This window comes from Homo sapiens, chromosome 3 (genome assembly GCF_000001405.40).
Source record: "Homo sapiens chromosome 3, GRCh38.p14 Primary Assembly".
Lineage (NCBI taxonomy): Eukaryota > Metazoa > Chordata > Mammalia > Primates > Hominidae > Homo > Homo sapiens.
The window spans coordinates 147,309,794-147,335,094 of NC_000003.12; the positions used below are offsets into that span (position 1 = coordinate 147,309,794).

Sequence of the window (25,301 nt, forward strand, 5' to 3'; positions counted from 1 at the left end):
GCTTATTGAGTGGTTGCTATGTGCTAGACACTGTTCTGACTTAGTTCTTAGAACAACCTTATGAAGCAGATACTATTTTCTCTCCCATTTTACAAATAAGAAACTGAGGCATGGAGAGATGAGTCATTTCTCTAAGTCATATGGTTAGTTTATGGCAGAGAGAGGATTCACACTCATATCTGTCTGACTCTGGGTATGAACATTTAACCACTCCTCTACATTGCCTCCCACTGTGAATGCTTCATGTGCAGAAATTATGAAAAATAACCAGCTGTCTAAATAGTTGCATTATTTCATCTGCTCATTTTATCTTTTTACATGCATATGTCCATTTCTCCTATAGTAATTTTCAAAAGTGTGGACTGATTCTGACCAAATTTAGCAAAAGATCTATATATATTGAGTTCCCTTTGTTATTGTCTTAAAGTATTCAAGAAGAAAGTCAGGGCAGAGGAAATTTCTGTAGAGAGGAGGACAGCTGGTATGAACCTGAGTGCCTGAAAAAAAAATTGGTTTAAGATCAACTCTTAGGGTAAGAAAGAATCAGGTTGGGTATTGGCAGGTCAGACTGGCAGGGAGGCTGCTGAGTTCTTCTGCAATCCATCCATGTGAGGAAAGTCTGTGGGTCACACTGCACTAGTTGCAAGGATTAATAATTGTCCAAATTATTTTAACTCTAAGAATTGTAAGTAAAGTCTGGGATGAATTCTAAAGACCTTGTTTAAATATATTCTCCAGGGACTGTTATTTGAAGTGGAATTCAATTTTGACCAACCAAAACATTTTTTCTCCACTTATGAATGAAAGAACAAGGGCTGAAATCGGTGTTGAACACTATTATGAATATAAAATTTAATATTGCTCAGTAAAAGTGTAATCATTTTTCAGTGGTGTCTTAGCTAATTAGTACTTTAAAAAAATTTGTTTTCTAAATTATTATTTTTATTATATGAAATTATTCTCAAATTATTCATAAAATGACTAATATTTGAAATTGTAATTCGGTTGTACTGATACTACATAATTATTATTAAACATTAGATGTACAGATATAAATATGCATATACCTATTATGTCAAATTTGTTAATATTTCCATTTTTTTTAATGAGAGGTCTAGTATGAGTAAGGAAAATTTATTTTTAAACACAAATGAAAATTTGATTCAGACAATATTTCCGTAAGCTAGTCACCTTAAGCAAAGTACAAAACCTTATTTAAATGAGCAAATTACTTGCCTTATATAATGAAAAGGAATATTCTGCCATGTATTTGTACATTATTGAAACAACTTAAGGAACATTTAATTAAGAAAAAAATTAACGAAAAATTCAAGAATATTTTTGACTAGGACTTAGGACTGCCAATCAAATTTATAGTCCATCTGTGTTAGTTTCTCATATTCGTTGTCTAAGAGATAGTAAAGTAACAATTGCTGCTTTTACTATGTCAAGGCAGGTATGAGTAATATTTATAGACCATACACACTGTAAATATTATAGGGTTTACACTGCACCCAAGTGGATATCTTTATACTTGAATAGACCAGAGAATACTCATTTTTTCCCAAATGTATTTTTTTGTATTAGAGATAATGATACTATGCAAATTAGCAAGGCTTAATATTCTTACCAATATTTGGTGATTTGAAATCAGCCCTGGTTAACAGATGGCCCCATCATTCTGGAACATAATTGATATTCTTTTAGAAAATCTCAACAGAAAGGCCAATGGACATGTATTCCACCTGGTCCCTTGATAAATTGGCATTTTCAGATAGGAAACTTTCCCGACAACAGAGTTTATTAGCAAAATCCTGAATTTTATACTCACCAAAGGCAAATGTGTTCTTTTCAAATTTCCCCAGTGTTCTAATTTTTCATATCTTTAATTTTTTTAGCTTTGTATTTGTGTTGTTCTTTGAAATTGTTTTAAGATTGCTAAAAAATAAGTTTATCATGGTGTCTTACTCAGAAGTGAATTTTCTGACAAAGGCCAGCGAACTTAGTGAGATTCAGAGAGGAGAAAAAAAAAACAAAACTATGTAATCAAACCTGGTATGCACCCAAAGTTTAGACAAAGCAAATGGAGCCTGGCACACATGAAATGATTTCAACCACAAGAATTCGTATGGCTGTAATAGCATTTGTGGGATCATTGTATGACATGCATGCACACCTGTTAACTAGGAACACAATTTCACATTCAATGGCTGGCTCCTAAACAGAAACAGCTTGTGCTTCCCATTGACATGAACTGTCAAGACCAACCTTGCAAAGACACAGATATCCCAACAGTTCACTCTAACCACCAAGCATCACCTAGACTTCCTGGAATAAAGACCATCCCTGGGATCTTGAGAAAGCAAGAAAGCACAAGCCTTTCAGAGAAAGAGTGGCTGAGACCAGGTGTGATTGATGAGCCCTCTCATTTATACAATGAGATTCAAATCCAGGCTGAAATAACTAAGGTAATGAAAGAAAAAAAAAAACTAGTAAAGATTAATGAGTTTTAAGAACTGTACCCTCTGTTCTGAAACAAATGTGGTAGCATTATTGTTATCACTTCAAAAGGAAAGTCTTTTCTGTTTTTAATCTCAGAAATTTCTAATCTTTTTAAAATTTCAACTATAATGTTTTAAATTCAGTAGTCAAGATTTCACTGGAGGAAAACGTATATATACAAAAAGGTAAAATAATGATAGAAAAAATGCATACCTCTTCTACTAGGAGAAAGTCACATTTTAATGTCTTGGGCCATAAACATCACTATGTATGTAACTTTTAGCTACAATCAGTTGAGGTACAGACAATAAATTCTTCAACATTTGGCAATTGATTGAAGAGAAATACTCACAACATGAGCTACATAAACTCATTCTGTAAATGAGAATATTTTAAAAGATATTGACTACAGATGTTTCAAAGTAGAATTTAAGGTCTCACTGGGTGTCCCCAACTGGTGATCACTCTGTTGTAAGCTTAACTCTTTAGCAAGGTCGTTCAAATTTCTGTTTTCCCTTCTCAACTTTTCACCCTGCAAGCAGTCATTGTTACATTTCAACACTTCTTTACATCAAGCACCTAATATAAACTGGGAACAGCTGCAATTTCACTGCCCAGCCCTTTCTTCCACCCTTACAACATTTGTTCTGTTAATGTAGGTTAATTCTGCAAATAACACTTCTGTAAATTGTTCTTGCAAACTGCTACATCATTTATGTAAGGACTTCTGTGAACTTTGAAAAATTAATGCCTTTAATTTTGGTTGATGGCAACATCAGCAGAGCTCTGTAAATTGCACTTTAATGAGATTTTGCTACAGGGGATAATCTGCTACTGACAGAGGAACATCTTGAAAACATCTGTAGACCTATAATTTCTCTATGACGATTAGATCCCACCACAAGACTCCAAATACAAACCCCAAATAAAGAAGGAAAATGTAAAGTTCTAAATGAGAATACAACCTGTTCTTTAAAAGCAAGAGGCCCACTATGAAAAGTTTCATGCACTGAAAATAAATCATTTTTGGACTAATTAACATTTAGCTTTATTTAATTAAGAAAGACTATTAGTATCTCCACTGCTGTGCATCTGTATATAATGAAGCAAACAGCAGTAGGTATAAGATACCACTGAGGGATATGCCCAAGTAACCCAGCACTATAGGTGCAAAGGAATGTCTATTACTGTTAAGTAACTGACATCTGAGTCTTACTTTAATGTTGTCATAAATAAAAGGAAGATTTCCACAGATGCCTTCACATATGGTTTCTTATTTGTCTCTGATGGAGACTGGAAGTTGGATTAGATGCCAAAATTAAATGATTTAAATAGACAGCTGCATAATGGAAACTACTAAATAACACCTTATAAACAGTTTCTAATTATAGCAAGTCTAAATCACAGAAGGATGACACATTTTATTTTGCTAGAGCAAACATTACTTGTTGTTCTAATGCCATTACGTCTAATGCCCATAGTTATGTTACCTTAACATTCACTCTTGCTCATGTTTGTGAACACATACCCTCTTTAGAATGGTAGCTTTTGAAATCACAACTCATTTTCCCTAGTCAAACAGTACACTTGCAAAACAATCTGTTTAAATATATATCATATTTGCATAGGTTGAAATAAACAAAGTGACTTATATGTTACACTATATTCTCCACTTTCTATGCTGTGAAATTAATAGCTTCTTGTGAAAATATTGATTTTCAGACCATAATTTCCTATCTATAATGCTTATGTATATATGATTTTTCATAGGAAATAAATTAAGTAAAAACTGCAGAATTAAATAAGTGCCTAAAGAGACACAGAGAAACTGTCACTTTTGGAAAACTTAAATATACCAGCAGGCTTGTTTGCTGTTTTAATTGATCCTTGGAAACCTATATTGTATGTGTATTCTAAAACTTAAGTGATAAATAAGAACCATTTAAAAGATTCTCAAAACTGGATCTGAACAGCTTCACTTTGTAATAAATGAGGGAAGCTTATATTACTTCATTAGTAGAACCCAAGACAAATCACAGTTTTCATTCTTATGCTGTGTATAAAATGCAGCAGGAAGGGAGTGAAGTGGAAATGAGGTGGCGGTCTTGAAAGAAGATAAGAATACATCAGGAGTGGCCAGTAGATAGTTTTGCCTGTAAAATCTGAACAATCCAGAAGGAATGATGCTGCATGCACTGGGCATTAGGCATAAGCACCTATATCTTGCTTCTGCTCACTCCCTGACTGAGATTTGTGGGCGGGACGTTAGGGTCACCCCCAATACATATGGGTCAGCCCCTGGACCCCATTTTGAGCTTGAACTTTGGGCCAACATTAAGATTTCTCCTTCTCCTCCCTTTCTGAGATGTGTTTACTGGTCCTGCACCTAAATCCATTCATCAAAGACCCCATCCCTACATCTATTCATAAATATACTTAAGGAGTCCCTTATGTATAGCTAACCAAGTCATTCCTTTCAAAGACTGCAAGTGCAAATAAATACACAGTATTGTGGGTAGCCCTCACAAGAAATACTTCACCAGTTCCAGAAAGAAGGCATTTGGGGGAGTAATTCAGATAATTTAGATGATTAGGGTACACCTCTTAAGCAGTACTAGGTGCTCATCAACCTAATGAAAAACCTACAATCATAAAATTGAATATTATCTTTCCTTCTCAGGATTAAACTTTGTCAAAATATGACTTCCAAAGATAAAGAGGGTCCACTCAGTAACTAATGATATTGCAATGTTTATTACTTACTGCAATCTATTGTCTTTAAAAAGTCATCCTGGAAAAACAAGTATTGTCAATTATTTTCTGTATACAAATACAGATTCACAGAATAGGTCTATTAGGTCTATTAGGTCGGCTTGGTGCAGAGCTGTGTTCAATTCCTGGATATCCTTGTTAACTTTGTATCTCGATCTGTCTAATGTTGAGAGTGGGGTGTTAAAGTCTCCCATTATTATTGTGTGGGAGTCTAAGTCTCTTTGTAGGTCTCTAAGGACTTGCTTTATGAATCTGGGTGCTCCTGTATTGGGTGCATATATATTTAGGATAGTTAGCTCTTCTCGTTGAATTGATCCCTTCACCATTACATAATCGTCTTCTTTGCCCCTTTTGATCTTTGTTGGTTTAAAGTCTGTTTTATCAGAGACTAGGATTGCAACCCCTGCTTTTTTTTTGTTTTCCATTTGCTTGGTAGATCTTCCTCCATCCCTTTGAGGCTACATGTGTCTCTGCACATGAGATGGGTCACCTGAATACAGCACACTGATGGGTCTTGACTCTTTATTCAATTTGCCAGTCTGTGTCTTTCAATTGGAGCATTTAGCCCATTTACACTTAAGGTTAATATTGTTATGTGTGAATTTGATCCTGTCATTATGAGGTTAGCTGGTTATTTTGCTCATTAGTTGATGCAGTTTCTTCCTAGCATCAATGGTCTTTACAATTTGGCATGTTTTTGCAGTGGCTGGTACTGGTTGTTCCTTTCCATGTTTAGTGCTTCCTTCAGGAGCTCTTGTAAGACAGGCCTGGTGGTGACAAAATCGTTCAGCATTTACTTGTCTGTAAAGGATTTTATTTCTCCTTCACTTATGAAGCTTAGTTTGGCTGGAAATGAAATTCTGGGTTAAAAATTCTTTTCTTTAAGAATGTTGAATATTGGCCCCCACTCTCTTCTGGCTTGTAGAGTCTCTGCCAAGAGATCAGCTGTTAGTCTGATGGGCTTCCCTTTGTGGGTAACCTGACCTTTCTCTCTGGCTCCTTCATTTCAACTTTGGTGAATCTGACAATTATGTGTCTTGGACTTGCTCTTCTTGAGGAGTATCTTTGTGGCGTTCTCTGTATTTCCTGAATTTGAATGTTGGCCTGACTTGCTAGGTTGGGGAGGTTCTCCTGAATAATATCCTGAAGAGTGTTTTCCAACTTGGTTCCATTCTCCCTGTCACTTTCAGATACAGCAATCAGACATAGATTTGGTCTTTTCATATAGTCCCACATTTCTTGGAGGTTTTGTTCATTTCTTTTTACTCTTTTTTCTCTAAACTTCTCTTCTCACTTCATTTCATTCATTTGATCTTCAATCACTGATACCCTTTCTTCCACTTGATCAAATTGGCTACTGAAGCTTACGCATGCATCATGTAGTTCTCGTGCCATAGTTTTCAGCTCCATCAGGTCATTTAAGGTCTTCTCTTTGCTGTTAATTCTAGTTAGCCATTCGTCTAATCTTTTCTCAAGGATTTTAGCTGCTTTGCAATGGGTTCAAACATCCTCCTTTAGCTTGGAGAAGTTTGTTATTACCAGTCATCTGAAGCCTTCTTCTCTCAACTCGTCAAAGTCATTCTCCATCCAGCTTTGTTCTGTTGCTGGTGAGAAGCCGCGTTCCTTTGGAGAAGAAGAGGCACTCTGATTTTTAGAATTTTCAGCTTTTCTGCTCTGGTCTCTCCCCATCTTTGTGGTTTTATCTACCTTTGGTCTTTGATGATGGTGATGTACAGATGGGGTTTTGGTGTGGATGTCCGTTCTGTTTGTTTGTTTTCCTTCTAACAGTCAGGACCCTCAGCTGCAGGTCTGTTGGAGTTTGCTGGAGGTCCACTCCAGACCCTGTTTGTCTAGGTATCACCGGTGGAGGCTGCAGAACAGCAAATATTGCAGAACGACAAATGTTGCTGCCTGATCCTTCCTCTGGAAGCTTCATCTCAGAGGGGCACCAGGCTGTATGAGGTGTCAGTCGGCCCCTACTGGGAGGTGCCTCCCAGTTAGGCTACTCAGGGGTCAGGGACCCACTTGAGGAGGCAGTCTGTCTGTTCTCAGATCTCAAACTCTGTGCTGGGAGAACCACTACTCTCTTCAAAGCTGTCAGACAGGGACAATTAAGTCTGCAGAAGTTTCTGCTGCCTTTTTTTCAGCTATGTCCTGCCCCCAGTGGTGGAGTCCACAGAGGCAGGCAGGCCTCCTTGAGCTGTGGTGGGCTCCACCCAGTTCGAGCTTCCTGGCTGCTTTGTTTACCTACTCAAGCCTCAGCCATGGCGGACGCCCCTCCCCCAGCCTCACTGCTGCCTTGCAGTTCGACCTCAGACTGCTGTGCTAGCAATGAGCGAGGCTCCATGGGCATGGGACCCTCCGAGCCAGGCTCAGGATATAATCTCCTGGTATGCCCTTTGCTAAGACCATTGGAAAAGCACAGTATTAGGGTGGGAGTGTCCCGATTTTCCAGATACCATCTGTCACGGCTTCCCGTTGCTACGAAAGGGAATTCCCTGACCCCTTGCACTTCCCAGGTGAGGTGATGCCCTGCCCTCCTTCGGCTCATGCTCCATGGGCTGCACTCACTGTCTGACAAGCCCCAGTGAGATGAACCCAGTACCTCAGTAGGAAATGCAGAAATCACCCATCTTCTGTGTGGCTCACGCTGGGAGCTGTAGACTGGAGCTGTTCCTATTCGGCCATCTTGGAACCTCCCCCAGCAATGATTTTTTTTTAGAATGCTCAAGTCATTTTGTTTGCTGAATTTCTAGACAGCCAAAGAACAATATTGTGGGAGTTTTTTGAGAAAGCTTACCATGAGAGTGTTTTGAGAAAGTCAGCCAAAGGTTTAGCAGAAAAATGCCCAGGAAAACTTCACCAGAGAGTCCTTGTCCAATATGACAATGCTCTTGCTCACTTCTCTCATCAAACAAGGACATTTTCTGAGAGTTTCCATGGAAATCATTAGGAATCCACCTTATAGTCCTAATTTGGCTCCTTTTAACTTCTTTTTGATTCCTAACCTTAAAAAATCATAGAGGTTACCCATTTTTCCTTAGTTAATAATATATGTTTCAGTTCCCAGGACCCTCAGTTCTTTAGAGATGAACTAAATAGCTGGTATCATTGCTTACCAACAATTCCTTGGATAGAGATTATATTGAGAAATAAGGTTTATATTTTTAGGGGTGTTCTTCTTTTTATTTTCCTTTTTTCCTTTTTTTTTTTTTTTTACAGTCGCACTCTGTCACCCAGGGTGGAGTGCAGTGGTGCAGTCTCAGCTTACTACAACCTCTGCCTCCCAGCTTCAAGTGATTCTAGTGCCTCAGCCACCCAAGTAGCTGGGATTACAGGTCTTTGCCACCATGCCCAGCTAATTTTTGTATTTTTGGTATATAACAGGGTTTTGCCATGTTGGCCAGGCTGGTCTTGAACTCCTGGCCTCAAGTGATGTGCCTGCCTTGGCCTCCCAACTGCTGGGATTACAAGCCTGAGCCACCACACCTGGTCCATATTTTTAGTTTAGTTTTTACTTCCATTTTTTTCCACAAACTTTTTGAAGTCCCCTCTTTTTTTTGGTGGAGGGGAGAGTTTCACCCTTGTTGCCCAAGCTGGAGTGCAATGGCATGCTCTTGGCCAACTGTAACCTCTGCCTCCCAGGTTCAAGTGATTCTCCTGCCTCAGCTTTCCGAGAAGCTGGGATTACAGGTGCATGCAACCACACCTGGCTAATTGTTTGTATTTTTAGTAGAAAAAGGGTTTCTCCGTGTTAGCCAGGCTGGTCTTGAACTACTGACCTCAGGTCATCCACCTGCCTCAGACCCCAAAGTGCTGGGATTACAGGCGTGAGCCACCATGCCCGGCCAAAGTCCAGTGTTTATGTAAAGAAAAGACATACATATGTAGAAAAGTGTCAGTAAATATTAGTTTATTTTATTAGTTCCCTTTTCCTCTCTCAACTTCCCCCACTCCCTGGCCAATTGTTACCAGTTGCTATCTCCTTACCTAAAATGTTTCAATCAAGCAGCCGTGTCTTTTCACAAATAGTTTTCAGGACCAAGGAGAGATCTCACGAGCCCTTTTCCCCAAGATATATTAGTTCTGCTGTGCTAGGGGTTAGTACATTGATTGATTAAGTAAATATATTCTGAGGATCTGCATAGGCACTATGTTAAGTTATGGAGAAACAGCATTTTCAAAAACAGGTAAGTCCCAAAACTTGTGATGCTTATAATCCAGTGATGAACTAGACATTAAACAAAGCATTTGACTCCTAGCATTACCCACCAAAAGAAAGCCACACACAGATACCAAATAGATAGGTAAGATGACAAAATGTACGAAGTCCTATGAGAGGAATTCTTATCTAATCTTGGGGGGTTGCAGGGAGGAACTTGAAAGAGCAACTGTCCTGAGAGATTATATTTTTGCTGAGATCTCAGGGACGAATAAGAGATAATCGAATCATGCCAGGCATGGTGGCTCATGCCTGTAATCCCAGCACTTTGGAAGGCTGAGGAGGGAGGATCCACTGAGCCCAAGAGTTCAAGACCAGCCTAGGCAACAAAGTGAGATGCCCATCCCTACAAAAAAAAAAAATCAAAAACAGCTGAGCGCAGTGGCCCAAGCCTATATTTCCAGCTATTTGGGAAGCTGAGGCAGGAGGATCACTTGCGTTCAGGCATTTGAGGTTGCAGTGAGCCATGTTTGTACCATTGCACTCCAGCCTAGGTGATAGCATAAGATTCTGCCTCAAAAAGAAGAGGAAGAAATAATTGTGCAAAGAGAATGATTAAAGAATGCTCATAGCTGGGCACGGTGGCTCATGCCTATAATCCCAGCACTTTGGCAGGCTGAGGCAGGTGGATCACCTGAGGTCAGGAGTTCAAGACCAGCCTGGCCAACACGGTGAGACCCCATCTCTACTAAAAATACAAAATTAGCTGGGCATGGTGACACAAGCCTGTAATCCCAGCTACTCAGGAGGCAAGGCTGGAGAATCACTTGAACCCAGGAGGCAGAGGTTGCAGTGAGCTGGGATTGCGCCATTGCACTCCAGCCTGGGTGACAAGAGTGAAATTCTGTCTCAAAAAAAATGCTCCTGAAAAAGAAATATCTGATAAACTTTTTTAAAGGCCAGTGCAGCTGAACACAGTGGTGCTCACTTGTAGTCCCAGCTACTTGGGAGGCTGAGGCAGGAAGATTCCTTAATCCCAGAAGTTTGAGACCAGCTCATGCAACATCGTAAGACCCCATCTCTATATAAGAAACAAGAGACCAGTGCAACTAGTGTAGAGTTATGAAGGAGTAGCACAATGGAAGATGAGACGTAAGCAGACTCTTGCAAGTCATGCTATGAATATAGCATAAAGATAGAAGACTTGTAGATCTCCAGGTCATTACTTTTTACTTATTCTGGGTTTTTTTTTGGTGCATGTTAATTATTATTTTTAAATTGTAAGATCTGGCCACAATGGGCCTGCATTTCTATGTGAAGACAATAAATAACCATTTCACCAAGTACACAAAGCATGAGCTCTCCAGTTTGTCACAGTCTTAACTGGCCAATTTCACCCATATGCATTTTCTGCTCATCCCCTGTAGTCTTGTAAATTTGCAACCCTAGATTGTGTTTTCTGCTTTGTCTGTCAGATCCAGCCCTGATTTTGTGTCTCAATATGGAGAAGTCACTGCCTTTTTTCTTTGGGTTACATGATGATGACCAACTCCTTGAAAATATTTTCCAAGATAACAGTGTATCCCATACTTAGCAAAGTGTGCACAGCTACTCAATTTGTTATAATCCACTCGCCCAGTAGGAGGTTCTTGCTAATGTTTGTTCTACAAGATGTTTCCTTTTTTTTTTCATTCTTTTATTTTATTTTATTATTATTATACTTTAAGTTTTAGGGTACATGTGCACAATGTGCAGGTTAGTTACATGTGTATACATGTGCCATGCTGGTGTGCTGCACCCATTAACTCGTCATTTAGCATTAGGTATATCTCCTAATGCTATCTCTCCCCCCTCCCCACCCCACAACAGTCCCCAGAGTGTGATGTTCCCCTTCCTGTGTCCATGAGTTCTCATTGTTCAATTCCCACCTATGAGTGAGAATATGCGGTGTTTGGTTTTTTGTCCTTGCGATAGTTTACTGAGAATGATGATTTACAATTTCATCCATGTCCCTACAAAGGACATGAACTCATCATTTTTTATGGCTGCATAGTATTCCATGGTGTATATGTGCCACATTTTCTTAATCCAGTCTATCATTGTTGGACATTTGGGTTGGTTCCAAGTCTTTGTTATTGTGAATAGAGCCGCAATAAACATACGTGTACATGTGTCTTTATAGCAGCATGATTTATAGTCCTTTGGGTATATACCCAGTAATGGGATGGCTGGGTCAAATGTCTACCAGATGTTTTCTTTGGCCATACCCTCCAGACACTTCTTTCACCTCTCTGTGGACTTTTTTTTTTTCTTTAAGATGGAGCTTCATTCTTATTGCCCAGGCTGAAGTGCAATGGTGAGATCTCAGCTCACTGCAACCTCTGCCTCCCAGGTTCAAGTGATTCTCGTGCCTCAGCCTTCTGAGTAGCTGGAAAAACAGGCACGTGCTACCTCGCCTGGCTAATTTTTGTATTTTTAGTAGAGTCAAGGTTTTACCATGTTGGCCAGGTTAATCTCGAACTCCTGACCTCAGGTGATCCACCCCCTTCGGCCTCCCAAAGTGCTAGGATTACAGGTGTAAGCCACCGTGCCCGGCCTTCTCTGTGGACTTTAGTGTTATCAGTAGTTCAATAATATACCTATCACAGTCAAAAGATACAATTCCAAAACCTTGGTCTCTTCCCATCTGTCTTTTTCATCTTTCATTGAAAAGCCACTTCTCATATTATGTCAGATAGATTAGTTTCAAGCAGCACTCTTTTAAAATAATAACCAAACGTATATAGAGAGAATAAGTTTGTGACAAACCCTCAGTATTTGGGATTCAACTATCCAGATCCCTCAATTAACGAAACTTTTCTTAGTACTTTACTTATAAGAAAAAGAAGAAAATAAAAAGCAAAAAAGTTTCAAACATAAAGGTATATATTTCCATAGACAATCAAAGAATTCAATGTAGTCTCCTTAATTTTCTACATTCTTATGTGAACTGATATTCAATGAGAATTAATATACAGTATGGAGACTATAAGAGGTACTGCAAGTTCCTAGGTCATCAATCATATTCATTGCATTTCTCATATACCAAGAAAGGAAAGGTGCTGATTTGATGCCTTATGCATAGTAATAACCTGATATTTGATTAATAGAATTAAATGCAGGCTAGCATAGTTTAGAATTATGATGTTAAAATTAATTATAAAATTCATTTATCTGGTATATTCTATCATTTCTAGAGAAGTAGTGATTTTATTAGACATTGGATAATTCCTATTAAAGATATCAATAAGCTAGTAGAGATCACATAAATAGCATAATTGGAAGGCATTTGTTAAATAAAGGTTGCCAGAAGGATTTCCCTTAGAGATTAGTTGAAAGCACTTCCTGTTCTGGCAACGGCTGCGACATCTTTGCTGTACATCCCGTGCTGCACTTCTTAGCATCCTACTCACAATCCTTTTCCCTGTTTGCCAATGGTAATGGGCCTTTTCCTGACAGCATCCTAAGAGAAGCCCAAACTCCATCAGCTTTCTGTCCCCAGGCCATTGTGGTTAAAATTTGTATCACTGCAGTCTTTATCCATTTGCCCAGCAATCCTGAGGTAACTGCATTTTGAGATTCTTTTAACATTTGCCTTTTGCTAAAAAGAGCTTTGGCGGAAAAATTATCTCAAATAGCATAACGGATGTTTTCATCACTAAATTTTTTGGTAGTTTAAATTAAAATAAAAATGGTACACTTTGTGCATTGGCTTTCTTGTACTTAAGCCTTTAATGCCAGCTAAATAACAAAAGGGGCCATTAATGTAAAATTCAGCCTAAAGTCAATTGTATTACAAGCACTCTTAATACTTGTACATTCTTAATGTAACAAGAAGTCTGAAAGGCACTTAACTGAATACAGCTGTATGCAAATTTGCTTCAAACTCCTGAAGGTTAGAAACAGACATTATTTTAATCTTGAAAAATAAACCACTGAGTGTCTAGCATTTGGGTCTGTTAAACTCATCTACTAATGATTCCCCTATTAAACCATAATAAAGTGTTTGAAAGTTGATCCAGTCTTTTGCACATGGTAAACAAAGAGACTGGAACTACAGCAGGCCCTGCCAAAAACCAGTAAGAGGATTCTTTAATATATACATCCTCACACAGCTGTCATTCACCCCCACTGTATTATATATTTTGAGATAATTAAACAAAAATACATGACATTTATCTAAAACTCACAAATTTGCCTTCTGGGAATGTAGCACATTCTATAGTCTGATTCAGAAAGCTATTATCCAGTTGAAGGTGAACCAGGTTTTTACAGATGAAAGAATAAAATATTCACAAATAAAAATGTGGGTTGAGGTATAAAAGATTTGTCTTGTCACTTATAAGTGTGGTTCCACAAGGAAGCACACAAAATATTAGTAACACTATTATCATTTCCAAGCATACTACATTATGCTATCTATAGTTCTCAAGAAGAAAGCTAAGGCATAGATACATACATCTATAAACAAATTGTTTATTAAATCAAGATGGTTTTCTAAAATAAAATAAAGAAAAATCTCATTGGAAAATAGAAAGTAATTAATCATATCATAAAACAAAGAACAAGGGAGGGATCATTCGTTGTTTGGTGTGCTTACTGTACTTAAGCAAAATTACTAGAATATCTTGAATATTTTTTAAATGCTGCCAAGTTAGAGTTTATAATACCCTTAGATTCCTTTTTGATAAAGCTAACATATATTTTGGAATATAAATACCAAGCAAATAAACATCAAAATTAAACATTGCTACTATAGTGCCCAGTGTAATTATTATCATTTTATTCACTGAAAATTCAAATGCTTTTTAAAACAATTTATTTATTGGTCTTTTCTTGATTAATGTAAATAAAACCAAGTTATTTATCATTTATGGCCATATCCCAAAAAAAGAGCAAGAATGAAAGAATGAGAAAGAAAGAAAGAAAGAAAAAGAAAGAGAAGAAGTGAGGGAGGGAAAAAGAAGCTTTCATTTATTCAACAAATATTTAATTATAACCTACTATGTGTCAGGCATTATGTGAAATGCAAAGGATACAGTAATGAACAAAAATAGGCAAAAGTATTATCTTCCTAGATCTTATAGTTTAATTTGGGAGTCTGATATTAATTAGATAATGATAAAAAGTATACACAAATTATAACTGTGATATGTGCTACAAAGAGTTTTCTGTGAAAATGTATAATAAGAGGTTAGGTAAAGCATCCTGAAGGAGTAAAAGTAGAACTAAGATTTGAAGATTATCTGGGAGGCCTGCTAAGGAGTATTCCCTACAAAAGAACATGTGCAAAGGCCCTGTGGCCCTTTTGGAGATGGAAAAGAACTGAAATAATGGCATGGCTTGGAATTATGTTGCTAATGAGGCTTAGAGATGTAGGTCAAAGCCTGGCCACAGAGAGCCTTGTAGGTCTTGTTAAAGGTTTTGGTCTTTACCTCAAGAGCAATGTGAATCCATTGAGAACTATTTTAATCAGAAATTTGATATCACCAGATATGAATTTCAAAAGGAAATGTCTAGCTGAAATAAAAGGAACAAATTGAAAAGAGACAAGAATGAATATTAAAAGACCAGTTGAGACATTCCTCTCAGTGAGAGAGAATGGTGTCTTGGACTAGTTTGCTAGAGGTAAAAAGAAGATAAGTGGATATATTAGAGAAACATATTAGAAGTAACACTGATAGAAATTAATTTCAAATTGTGTATGGGGGTCAGGTTTCTGACAAGTATCATTAGATTAATGGTTTCATTGAGAATGAAAGAACTAGAAGAGGGGCAGCAAAGAAAATAATAAATTCTGTTTTGAACATGTTGAATTTGAGGCTCCCTTGAGACATTCTTAGTAGAAATGTCAGTTCAACATTGATCAACTAAAGTGTGTGTGTCAATATGTCTGTGTATGTGTGTATGTATGTGTGTGGGTAAAAAATGTTAATTCTTTGAGGACTACATAAATTAACCTTTCTATTCTATTCAGTGTCAGGCACTTTTGGAAGTATTAATAGGTAATAATATATTTATTAGTTTCCTACAAACTCCTCAGAGTTTAGTTTTTATGAAATTAGCTTTTAAAACAAGCTATTTCTAATACCTTCATTTCCTATGGCAGAAATTATAAAATTATGACATAAGAAATAAAAGAGAAAAAAAGGCACAAGCTTATTTAGGAACATATGAGGAGAGTAAGTTAACCAGAAATCTTAGCAGAGATACATGTGAACTAGTTACCTAAAATGAATATATCTCATGATCAGAGGAAGGGTAAGTAGTGGTGCAAAGTATATTCTCTTCACAATCCTGGATCTGGCTGCCAGCGACCAACCATAGATTTCTAGCACATTCTTCAACTTACTGACTGAAAAATTGAAATATACCAAATATACTGTCTATGTTGCATGTTAGAAAAATATAAAAATAAAGTAGTTTCAACAAGATAAAGTTTATTTCTCTCCATGTAGCTATCCAGAGAAGGCCATATAGGGATGGCAGGGGCTGCAGTCCACAAGGTCTGCCAGAAATGCAGGTTCTTTCTGTTGCATTGTTACACTAGCCTCAAAACTGCCTTTAGCTTATAATTGAAGAGGTCTACTTCATCCAACAGAAAGGGAGACAAGGCAAGTGGGGCACATGCGCATTCCTTTAAATATATGGAAGAGAATTGGAGTGCAGCACTTTTGCTTATACCCCTTAAGCTAGAATTGAATCATATGGCGACACCTAGCTACAAAGGCAAATGTAGTCCTTAGCTAAGCATATGTGTGGATATTTTGTTACTAAAGAAATAAGAATGTAGTTTGGTGGACAGGTAGTAGTGTCAGGCATAGTCAATATTCTAGATGACTCTGTCTCTAAAACCAATTCATTCATTAATTCAACAAAAATTCATTGAATGCTCACACACTGGAAAGAAGAGGACAACAAGACACCCTCCATCCTTAACTTCATGTAGCTAAAAGTCTATTAACATTGGGTAATAAGCTCAACAAAACCACATAAAAAGACATCTAACCCAGTTTTCAGGTAGAAGGTTCAGAAAAAGTCACCTCAATCAGAGAAAAATTAGATCTAAAGAATGAGTAAGGCTGGGGGCGGTGGCTCATGCCTGTAATCCCAGCACTTTGGGAGGCCGAGGCAGGTGGATCACCTGAGATTAGGATTTCGAGACCAGCCTGGTTAACATGGTGAAACTGCATCTCTACTAAAATTACAAAAATTAGCTGGGCGTGTTGGCGGGTGCCTGTAATCCCAGCTACTCAGGAGGCTGAGGTGGGAGAATCGCTTGAGCCGGGAGGCTGAGGTTGCAGTGAGCCAAGATCGCACCATTGCAGTCCAGCTTGCAAAAAAAAAAAAAAAAAAAAAAAAAAAAAAAAAAAAAAAAAAGTGGGGTGGGAGGACCAAAGCTCTGTAAATAATCTCTCATAAAGAAATAAATATGAAAGTTTATCATTTTATTAATGTAAGGTTTAGAAAGTGATAATTTTCTTATATATTTTAGATTTATCTTCTCCTAATTTTCTTAGAAGAATAAGAGAAACATGAGTAGTCTGGCATAGAGAAAAATGAATATTCCTACTGAAAAGGGCCTTTTGCTACACTATATAATAAATAAATAAGAACGTATTAAAATGTGAAATTTTATACTATTAGTAAAAATATTAAGATCCCAATAAGTTCTTTTAAAAAAATAAAAGTCACAAACAATTTATTTAAAATATGAATGGCATCAGATTTCTTACCATCAACATTGGAAACTAGAAAATGACAGTGCACTCTTGTTGAAATATGGAAATAATCTTCAACTAGAAATATATATCCAGTCTAAATAATAGTCAAATATAATGATAAAATAAAAGAATTTTTATACATGACATTTCCTAAATATATTTACTTTGGCCCATTTCTCAAGAACCTAGTGGAGAATATATTCTACCAAAATGGGGGTATGATTTCGGATTGAAGTAAATATGGGAATCAGAAACAGAGGACCCAAACATAAGAGATAAGTTATTTATTGGGAACATTTGACAGAGCTTTTGTACATCATGGGAAGATTTGGCTAGAAAAAACTAACAAATTTTAAAAGTAACACAGTTTAACTCCAGGAAAAATAAAAAGTTACATAATACAAAATGTAATCATCAGATACTATTTGGTGTATGAGAAAACAATATTTACATAGTGCAAATAATAAGGAAAATACAACATTTTGATAAATTGAAGGATGAGTAAAGGTAAAGTATTGTGTCTCCTCTGGCCAGATGAACAAAGAATCATCTTTCTGAAACTGTATCACTATCAGATTAATGCCCAACATACACACATCTTCCTCTATATGATAAACCCTATCTGGAGTGCTGAGAAACCATGACCCTTAACCTTCCTTCCTTTGGAGTCAGAAATCTCAACTTTCCTCTGTACTAGGTCTTAGCTGGTGGATAGTTCCATTAAAATTTTCTTTATCTACATTTTTCTGAGAATGTCTTTACTTCTATGTGAACTTACTTAGAAGAGAAGGGTAGATACCCTCTATCTTTATTTCCGGACGTTTAATATACTGTACATACAAAAGATTGTTGTTAAACAGATTGACACTGAAGCCAATTAACCTTTTGCTGATCTTACAGGGCTTAGTATTTGTTGCCCATTAGAACAAGAAGGGCAACAAACAAATGATTCAGAGGAACCAATGATTCAGGAGGAAGTGGGACAATGTCAGGGAAGAGCAAAGATGCTAAAAGACTGCAAGGAGAAGGGGCTTAAGAAAATAGATCTCCTGGAGGATGATGTCATAGGATACACCCCAAGAAACCACAGAGCTAAGAATCCTGTGAACTGACACTCTCAAAATCCTAACACCCTGTTAACTATGTATGGATTGGATTACATTACTGGAACCTGAAGAAAAGAACGGGAAAAATATTTTTCTGGATTTTGTGTATATGTTCCGCTAATTTTGTTGCGTTCTGCACTCTTCCTTCCTCCATAATATGAGATCAATGTCTGGGTTTCACTACTCGTTTTTCAGGTTTCCAATTAACTCCCACCTCTTCCAAAATACCCTCCATCCTATCTGCAGTTCTCATAGAGCTATCCGTCTGCTCCCTCCTTTAGCACTTCATTCTACATTAATCACTATATGATCACAATTTTTTTCACACAAATATATTATGAGCTTCTAATGTTTAAAAAAAAAGTCTTATGTTTCTGCATTTTCCACAACTATTAGTACAAAGCTAAGTGCCTTAAAGGAACTGAATAAATACTTTATTCCTTGTAGTTTTATGTTAATATACTAACACAACAACCTATCACATGCTTATGTACGTAAGCTGTGTGCAATCCGTTATAAATGTAATCTATCTTTATATCTATTTATCCCCTTGAGAAATTTATAATCTTCTGATTCTATCTTTAAAAAATTTTTAAGTTGTTAAATGTTTAGAAACTTTGTCAGCTGGTTGTTAAATAAAATCATTATTAAAAACTAAATTTTGTGTTAAAATATGTAGTATATTGAATATATTAAAATTACCTAAACTACTTTAAAAATAAAGATAATAAGTATTTAAAATCCTTCACTTTATATTAACCACACTTTACTATTATCTCGCTCTTTAGGTCTACTTTAAGTGACGTCACATTGGTAGCTTGAAAATGGTCTGAAACTGGTGGGAATACTTATACCATTAAATTTGAAAAATGTTACAAAACAAGCCTTATTATTGTGTTGATATTGTTGTCTACACTAATGTAGATTAAACTTAAAAATGTGCCATTTCTGTAGTCATTAAATTATGAGTAACTCAAAAATTGAAGAAATGTTCCTCCAATATTTGAAAACAATTATCCTATTCAGAAAAAAAGTAACATTATTAACTAACAAGTGAGTTTCAACATGTCTTAATTGGTTTGTTTTCTTACTATAAGCAAAAATATCAACCAGCATTCATATTGAAACTACATTCATTCACCAATGGCAACCACAGTTTGGATACAAGTAGAGTTCAACAAAAATTAAAGGCAGCACTCTGAGAATCAATTGGCTATATGGAATTTACAGTAAATAATATTGTATATTTTATTATTTTAAAACTGTTCACAGTACATTCTTTATATAATAGCATTTATAATATACATGTACATGTATATATACTTTTTTTCATTGAGCAAATTCTTAAACATCTGTCAGCCCACTACTGCCTAAGATAATTGTTTACAATGCATATTCCCAGGCCTCAATCCCACAAATTTCAAATAAGTGCTGCTATAGTAAGGCCCAGGAATCTCCTTATTAAACAACAACTTTTTTTCTACAGTGGAAGCCTAAAGTTTTTATTGAAGAAGAAGAGAAAAATAAGTGAAAGGAAATATATATTTTCTGAGTTGCGAAGAATTCTAGATATTAGCAGATACTTCCTTTAAGAAGATCCTTACTGATGAAACAGACCATATTCAATTATTGAGGAAGGAAACAACCTGTGTCCATAATTCTACACTGGGTATTATACTAAGCAAATCTATTTTGTAAATTAAAACTAAAAGATTTTTCTTCAAAAAATACTTGTTTCTTAAATTATTCATTTAACACTATCACTATAGTCAAAACCAATGAGGGAAATAAGAAGCCATTTTAGAACTATTCATGAAATATAGATATCAGTTATAGTTTTTCTTTCTTCTAAAAAACTAATATTATTGAAAACTGTCTTCAACTATAAAATGAATATTTGGCTCTGGGAATATTTCACTGAAGTGTTCTATATTCAGAATATCAAACTACAATTTGTACCACTGAAATTTATAAATTCCATGTTTGTAATTATCCTTTTAACATTTTATCACCATTTCTACCCCGTAATAGACAAATGAAACTTTTCTCTCCTAGTTTTATGACATAATATCTCTTTATTATAAGACCATCTAAATAACTTCATTTAATGACATGGGTTTTGAAAACATCATTTTAAGCCAAACAACTAAATATTTTTTATGAGCATGCCATTAAACATCCACTTAACTGATTTTATTCAATTCTGCTAATAATTTTTAAGGTGTTCACATACAATCCCTAGTTATTTCATTTTTTTATTATTCAACAGTTTCTGGAATATAAACTTTAAGAAAGGGATTGGATGCTGGCCCAGGAAGGCCAGCTGAAACACCAAAAGAGACCAGGTAAAGTATTCATACATTTATGAGAATGGTTAGTATGAAGAGATGTGCAGTTACTCATTATTTGCGTTAATTCACAACTATTTCCTCACCTGCCAAAAATTCAAATAGGCACATACCACACTTCTATATCCACGTTTGTACATTACCTATTTCCATGCATTGCACACTGGGACATACCCAAGTTATGTAGATGAGCCATAACATACTGGCCTTAATAGGGTTAGCTGTAACTACCTTTAAATGCCTGTATTCTTGCATTTTGTAACATATCTGAAAGTAAAAAGGAAGTTGCTTTATCAATTGAGAGGGAGAAATGAATGGTTTCAGACAACATTAGGCAGATCCTATTTTCTAGACATCCTCACTTCTGGGAGCCTGTGGAAATCAAAATATGATAAATCTTCATGTAGTCAAAGCCAAGCAGGTTCATCACTTTATCTGTCCTTAATATCTAATTCAAAAGTAACCAGCTACATTCACAGCAGGGCTTACAAGTAAATTAATTCAAAGCCCTTAGAAACCTTACAATAACCAGAATTAAACTTTCCTTGTCAGAAGCTTAACAATGCTAAAATTTTAAATTAAAATATCTTTTTGAAAGTTTTGAAATTAATAAATCTAATTCATTTGTGACACTAGAGACAATTTAAGTTTTTGTAATTAAATAATCTAAGGAAAACCTATTTGAATTTTTTTCTGAATGTCTTAAAAGTTAAAGAATCATGCTTAAAATGAAGTCTTAAGTTTTACACTCTTGATAAGTTGCTAGTATCTTAATCGTGATATTAATATACTTTCCGTCATTAAATTTTTAATATAATAAATGTAATAGCCCCTACATTTATTAGCTTAAAATCCTTTAATACACAATTAACTATACATAAGAAGAAGATAGTTAAACATTGTAAGTAGAATGTTTATTTGGAGCTTTAAATTATATATATTTAGGAGCCAGGTTTTTTGTTTTTGTTTTTTTAGTCCTAGAAATTCATAGATCACTTTTGCAATGTTAATTACTTGCAGTCAGTATAAAGAAAATCATCAAAATAATTAGCTATTTTCTTTTTAGTTTTATTCACCTACTTGCTAAAAAGAAAAGAGGGACTTTTGGAAATCCATGTACATAGAGAGCTTATCATATATTATATAATTAATTTTAAAATGTTTCAAATACACATTATCCAGTGTAAAATTTTGACCTGATAAGACATGTTTTCAACTTGTTGTTTGTTTAATGTTTGGGATATATTCTTAGAAATATATTTAAAATATTTTTGAATGAAATGAAGGTGTCTCCTCTTCTTACTATTGCCAAGCCTATGATTTACACACAGTTTAATTATTCAGATGTTTATTATGTTCTACATAATGAAATTTGGACCCTCATATTTTCTTCCTACATCCTAGATGCAGGCTGCAATTATAGCCACAGATATCTGTTTATTTGATGAATTTTGCTTCTTCTGCATAGTTTGATAAATATGGAAATAAGTCAAAACCTACTTTATATACAGTAATTAAAGTGAAAAATCTAGTCATGATGCAAATCCTTAATTGGACTCCAGGAGAGATATGCAGAATTTCTCTTTAATAATATGGGATGACTGGGGACAGAAAAACAAAGCACACTAAAATATGGTTTAGAAGCACAATTAATCACAAAACAGAAAACAACCAATTTAGCATAGCTCATTCAGTGACTCTCATGGCTCAGGTAATGTTCTTTTAATCATCTGGCTCTAATATTAAGGTTGTGTCATGTGCATCTGAAAAAAAATACAATATATATGCTGATCTTCAGTGTGAAACGTGTTCTTTGGTCTAATTTGTAAACAGAGCCCTTTCATAACAAAATGCTTAGACTACTTAATGACATGTAAGTGAATGATCAAAGTAGTACAAAATGCTTTTAACTGTGTCCTGTAAATATATTAATTCATTAGACCCCCCTCAAAAGAAAAACCTTCATTTCTCATGACAATTTGTTAGTTCTCGTGCAAATTTTGTTTGGTCCTAATAGGTAGAAACAACCAGCCAAGATATGTTTTAGGCTTATGACAAAATAAAGGATATACTTCTTAAGCAAAATTAAATTAACGTACCCTGGGATTGTGCAGATGTGGCTGGAAAACAAATTATATATACATTAAAAAAACACCTAAGGAAGACTATAAGTATTTGTTTTCATGTACAATACATGCATTTCTCTAATCAGCTGAAACTTAGCCATCGTTGTCCCCTAATTTGATTGTAAAGATATTATTCTCCATATAGGCTTTCGTAATATCTCATTAAGGGAATAATTACATGAACATGCTTTAACTAGAAGAAACTAAATTTACTGTGCTACTTTGTTTAAATAGAAATTCCATTATTCTGTTCTGTAGAAAATGCCTCAGCCCCACACTAAGCAAATGAGAGTACTGCTTTTGAATTTAGAAATGGTCCCTTCCCAAAGTTATCCTGAATTACCTAAGTACACCAAAATTACCTATGTGATTGCATCCTCAGAGGAGCAAAAAAGAAGCTTATGGCTTTATGCCTCACAAGCACTCAATGACATTATCACAAGGATCATTTTTCTGTTCCCCAGATGTGTTCATCAGGACAGACCATGACTACAGTCTCCATGCTGAGAGCAGCTGAAATCAGAGAGGCTTGATGTCCAGTATTCAAATCACTGCCAAACTCTTTCTAACCCAAGATGCCTACCTTCCCAAACAGATGAAAGGAACCAAAGACAACTGAGTTTAGATGGAGTCTTCTCCTGGCTTTCCCAATGACCTGACATCTCTATGAGATACTTGCCATAAAACTTACAGGCTACAGAGAGAATGCCCTTTGATGTCTTTTAATGACAGCGTGATGGCCTTTGATGTGGTCCCATGGCATACGTTTTAGTTTGCAAACTGAAGCACAGTTTAATAGCAAACAATTTCTACACGAGTCAAAGTAATATTGATGTTGCTCACCTCTAGAACACATGTTTACAACCAAGAAAGTGAAAAATGTATCTTATTTTGATATGTAGAATAAATGTGTGTGGATTTAATTATAACTTACCTGATATTACAAATATTCAAATGTACAGTGGAAAATGGATTCGTTGTGTAAATTTCACAATGGTCAGCATGCTTTACTTATAGAATATTAATAATAAGGTCCCAGTCCTTTCAGGTAAATACAGTAGATTCAGAAGTAAATGTGCTATATTTGACTCCTATATTCTCAATACATTTTCAGAAATACTTAAAAGAAGAACACATTTCCTTAATTACTGAATCTTTGGTTCTCCCCTTTCCATTATAATTAGAGATTTGTATTTGGCAAAAAGATTATTTATATTGTTTTCTCTTTTAATTTCTCACATTCCAATGTCATATGTTCATAATCTAAAATTCTGGAGACATTGGTTGCAGAATAAAGGTAAATCAATTCTTCTCCACACCTTTTGACAAATTAGTGATTTATTCTTCTCTGCAGTGCAAATTAAATGTGACTGCATAGCTGAACTTTTCCTCATGTGATCATCACAAGAAAAGGTAAAGTTAAAATAATATTTCTCAGCAGCCCTGGCAGACAAATTTCTAGCTCCATTAAATAGATGCTTTCAGATGACCTCAATTTCATCAGGTAAAATTAAAACTAAAATCCATTGAAAAATTATATCTACATTATTTAGGTAGTAATCAAATAATCCAGGGTAATTAGTTGTTAATTAATCTTCTAATTCATTTGCTACTTCAAAGAAAATTACTTCAATGGTTTCGTGTTGTTGAAGTTGCTTTATTACTAAGAAAGTCTAATATAGGTTTAATTTTAAACTACGTTAAGTAGAATTGCCTTGATATTCCATAACATTTGCAATATGATAGAACTCAAAAAGGCTATTAAGGTGAAATCATGTCCCTTAAAACTAAAAGAAATAAATAAAAAGTTATTTCTTAAAATTTTAGCCCATAGTGATGTATCCTTATTTAAAAAACATTTATTTGAGAGACTATTACAAATATATGTGTAACTTTGCATTTTACTAGCAGGTTTTTATTTTCATAACAAAAATTCTAAAAGTTTCAATCTAACTACCAGAGTGATTGTGTGATTAGTCATGCAACAACTCTTTTGTAAGTGTCTATAAATATTACAACCAGTCCAATGCTGGTTGTAATATTTAAAAATTTTTACAGACTAAAATTATGACACCTTTTAAAAAGTCCAACATTTACTGTCATCATTTCAAAAAAAAAGAAGAAGAAAAAAAGGAAAGAAGGAAGGAAGCAAGGTAAAGACAGAGGAAGAAATCACCAAAACAATGTTTTCTGGCATCTGAAAATTATACTGGCATTACAATGTGGAAACAAACTCAAATTTCTCATTGGAAATATATAGGCTTAACTGCATGTATTTATAGGTATCTAAATATGTAAAAATATAAAACCATTTTTTAATCTTGTGAAGCCTCAAAAATGCCTATAGTTTTTTATTCCTCTCTAAATGAAAAATCAACAAACCAGGCTTTTTAAACTCTGCTATTTTTAAGTAACTGTAGATTATTTATTTAATATTCCTTTATCATTTAAAATATCTTAAGAGCTTTCAAATATCAAAGGGAATGTATAAAACTACATAACATATAGTTAACATATAAAAC

At 35.3% G+C, this 25,301-nt stretch overlaps 3 annotated features.

The window, feature by feature from the left end:
* Positions 7,061–7,562: an enhancer, noted in NCBI's record as "H3K4me1 hESC enhancer chr3:147034641-147035142 (GRCh37/hg19 assembly coordinates)". NCBI's record gives its function as "activates a minimal SCP1, AML or CMV promoter by ChIP-STARR-seq in naive H9 embryonic stem cells {active_cell/tissue: H9 hESC(naive)}" and the evidence as "EXISTENCE:reporter gene assay evidence [ECO:0000049][PMID:30033119]".
* Positions 7,563–8,062: an enhancer, noted in NCBI's record as "H3K4me1 hESC enhancer chr3:147035143-147035642 (GRCh37/hg19 assembly coordinates)". NCBI's record gives its function as "activates a minimal SCP1, AML or CMV promoter by ChIP-STARR-seq in naive H9 embryonic stem cells {active_cell/tissue: H9 hESC(naive)}" and the evidence as "EXISTENCE:reporter gene assay evidence [ECO:0000049][PMID:30033119]".
* Positions 21,956–23,520: an enhancer, noted in NCBI's record as "VISTA enhancer hs213". NCBI's record gives its function as "enhancer in: limb[2/3]" and the evidence as "EXISTENCE:transgenic organism evidence [ECO:0001131][PMID:17130149]".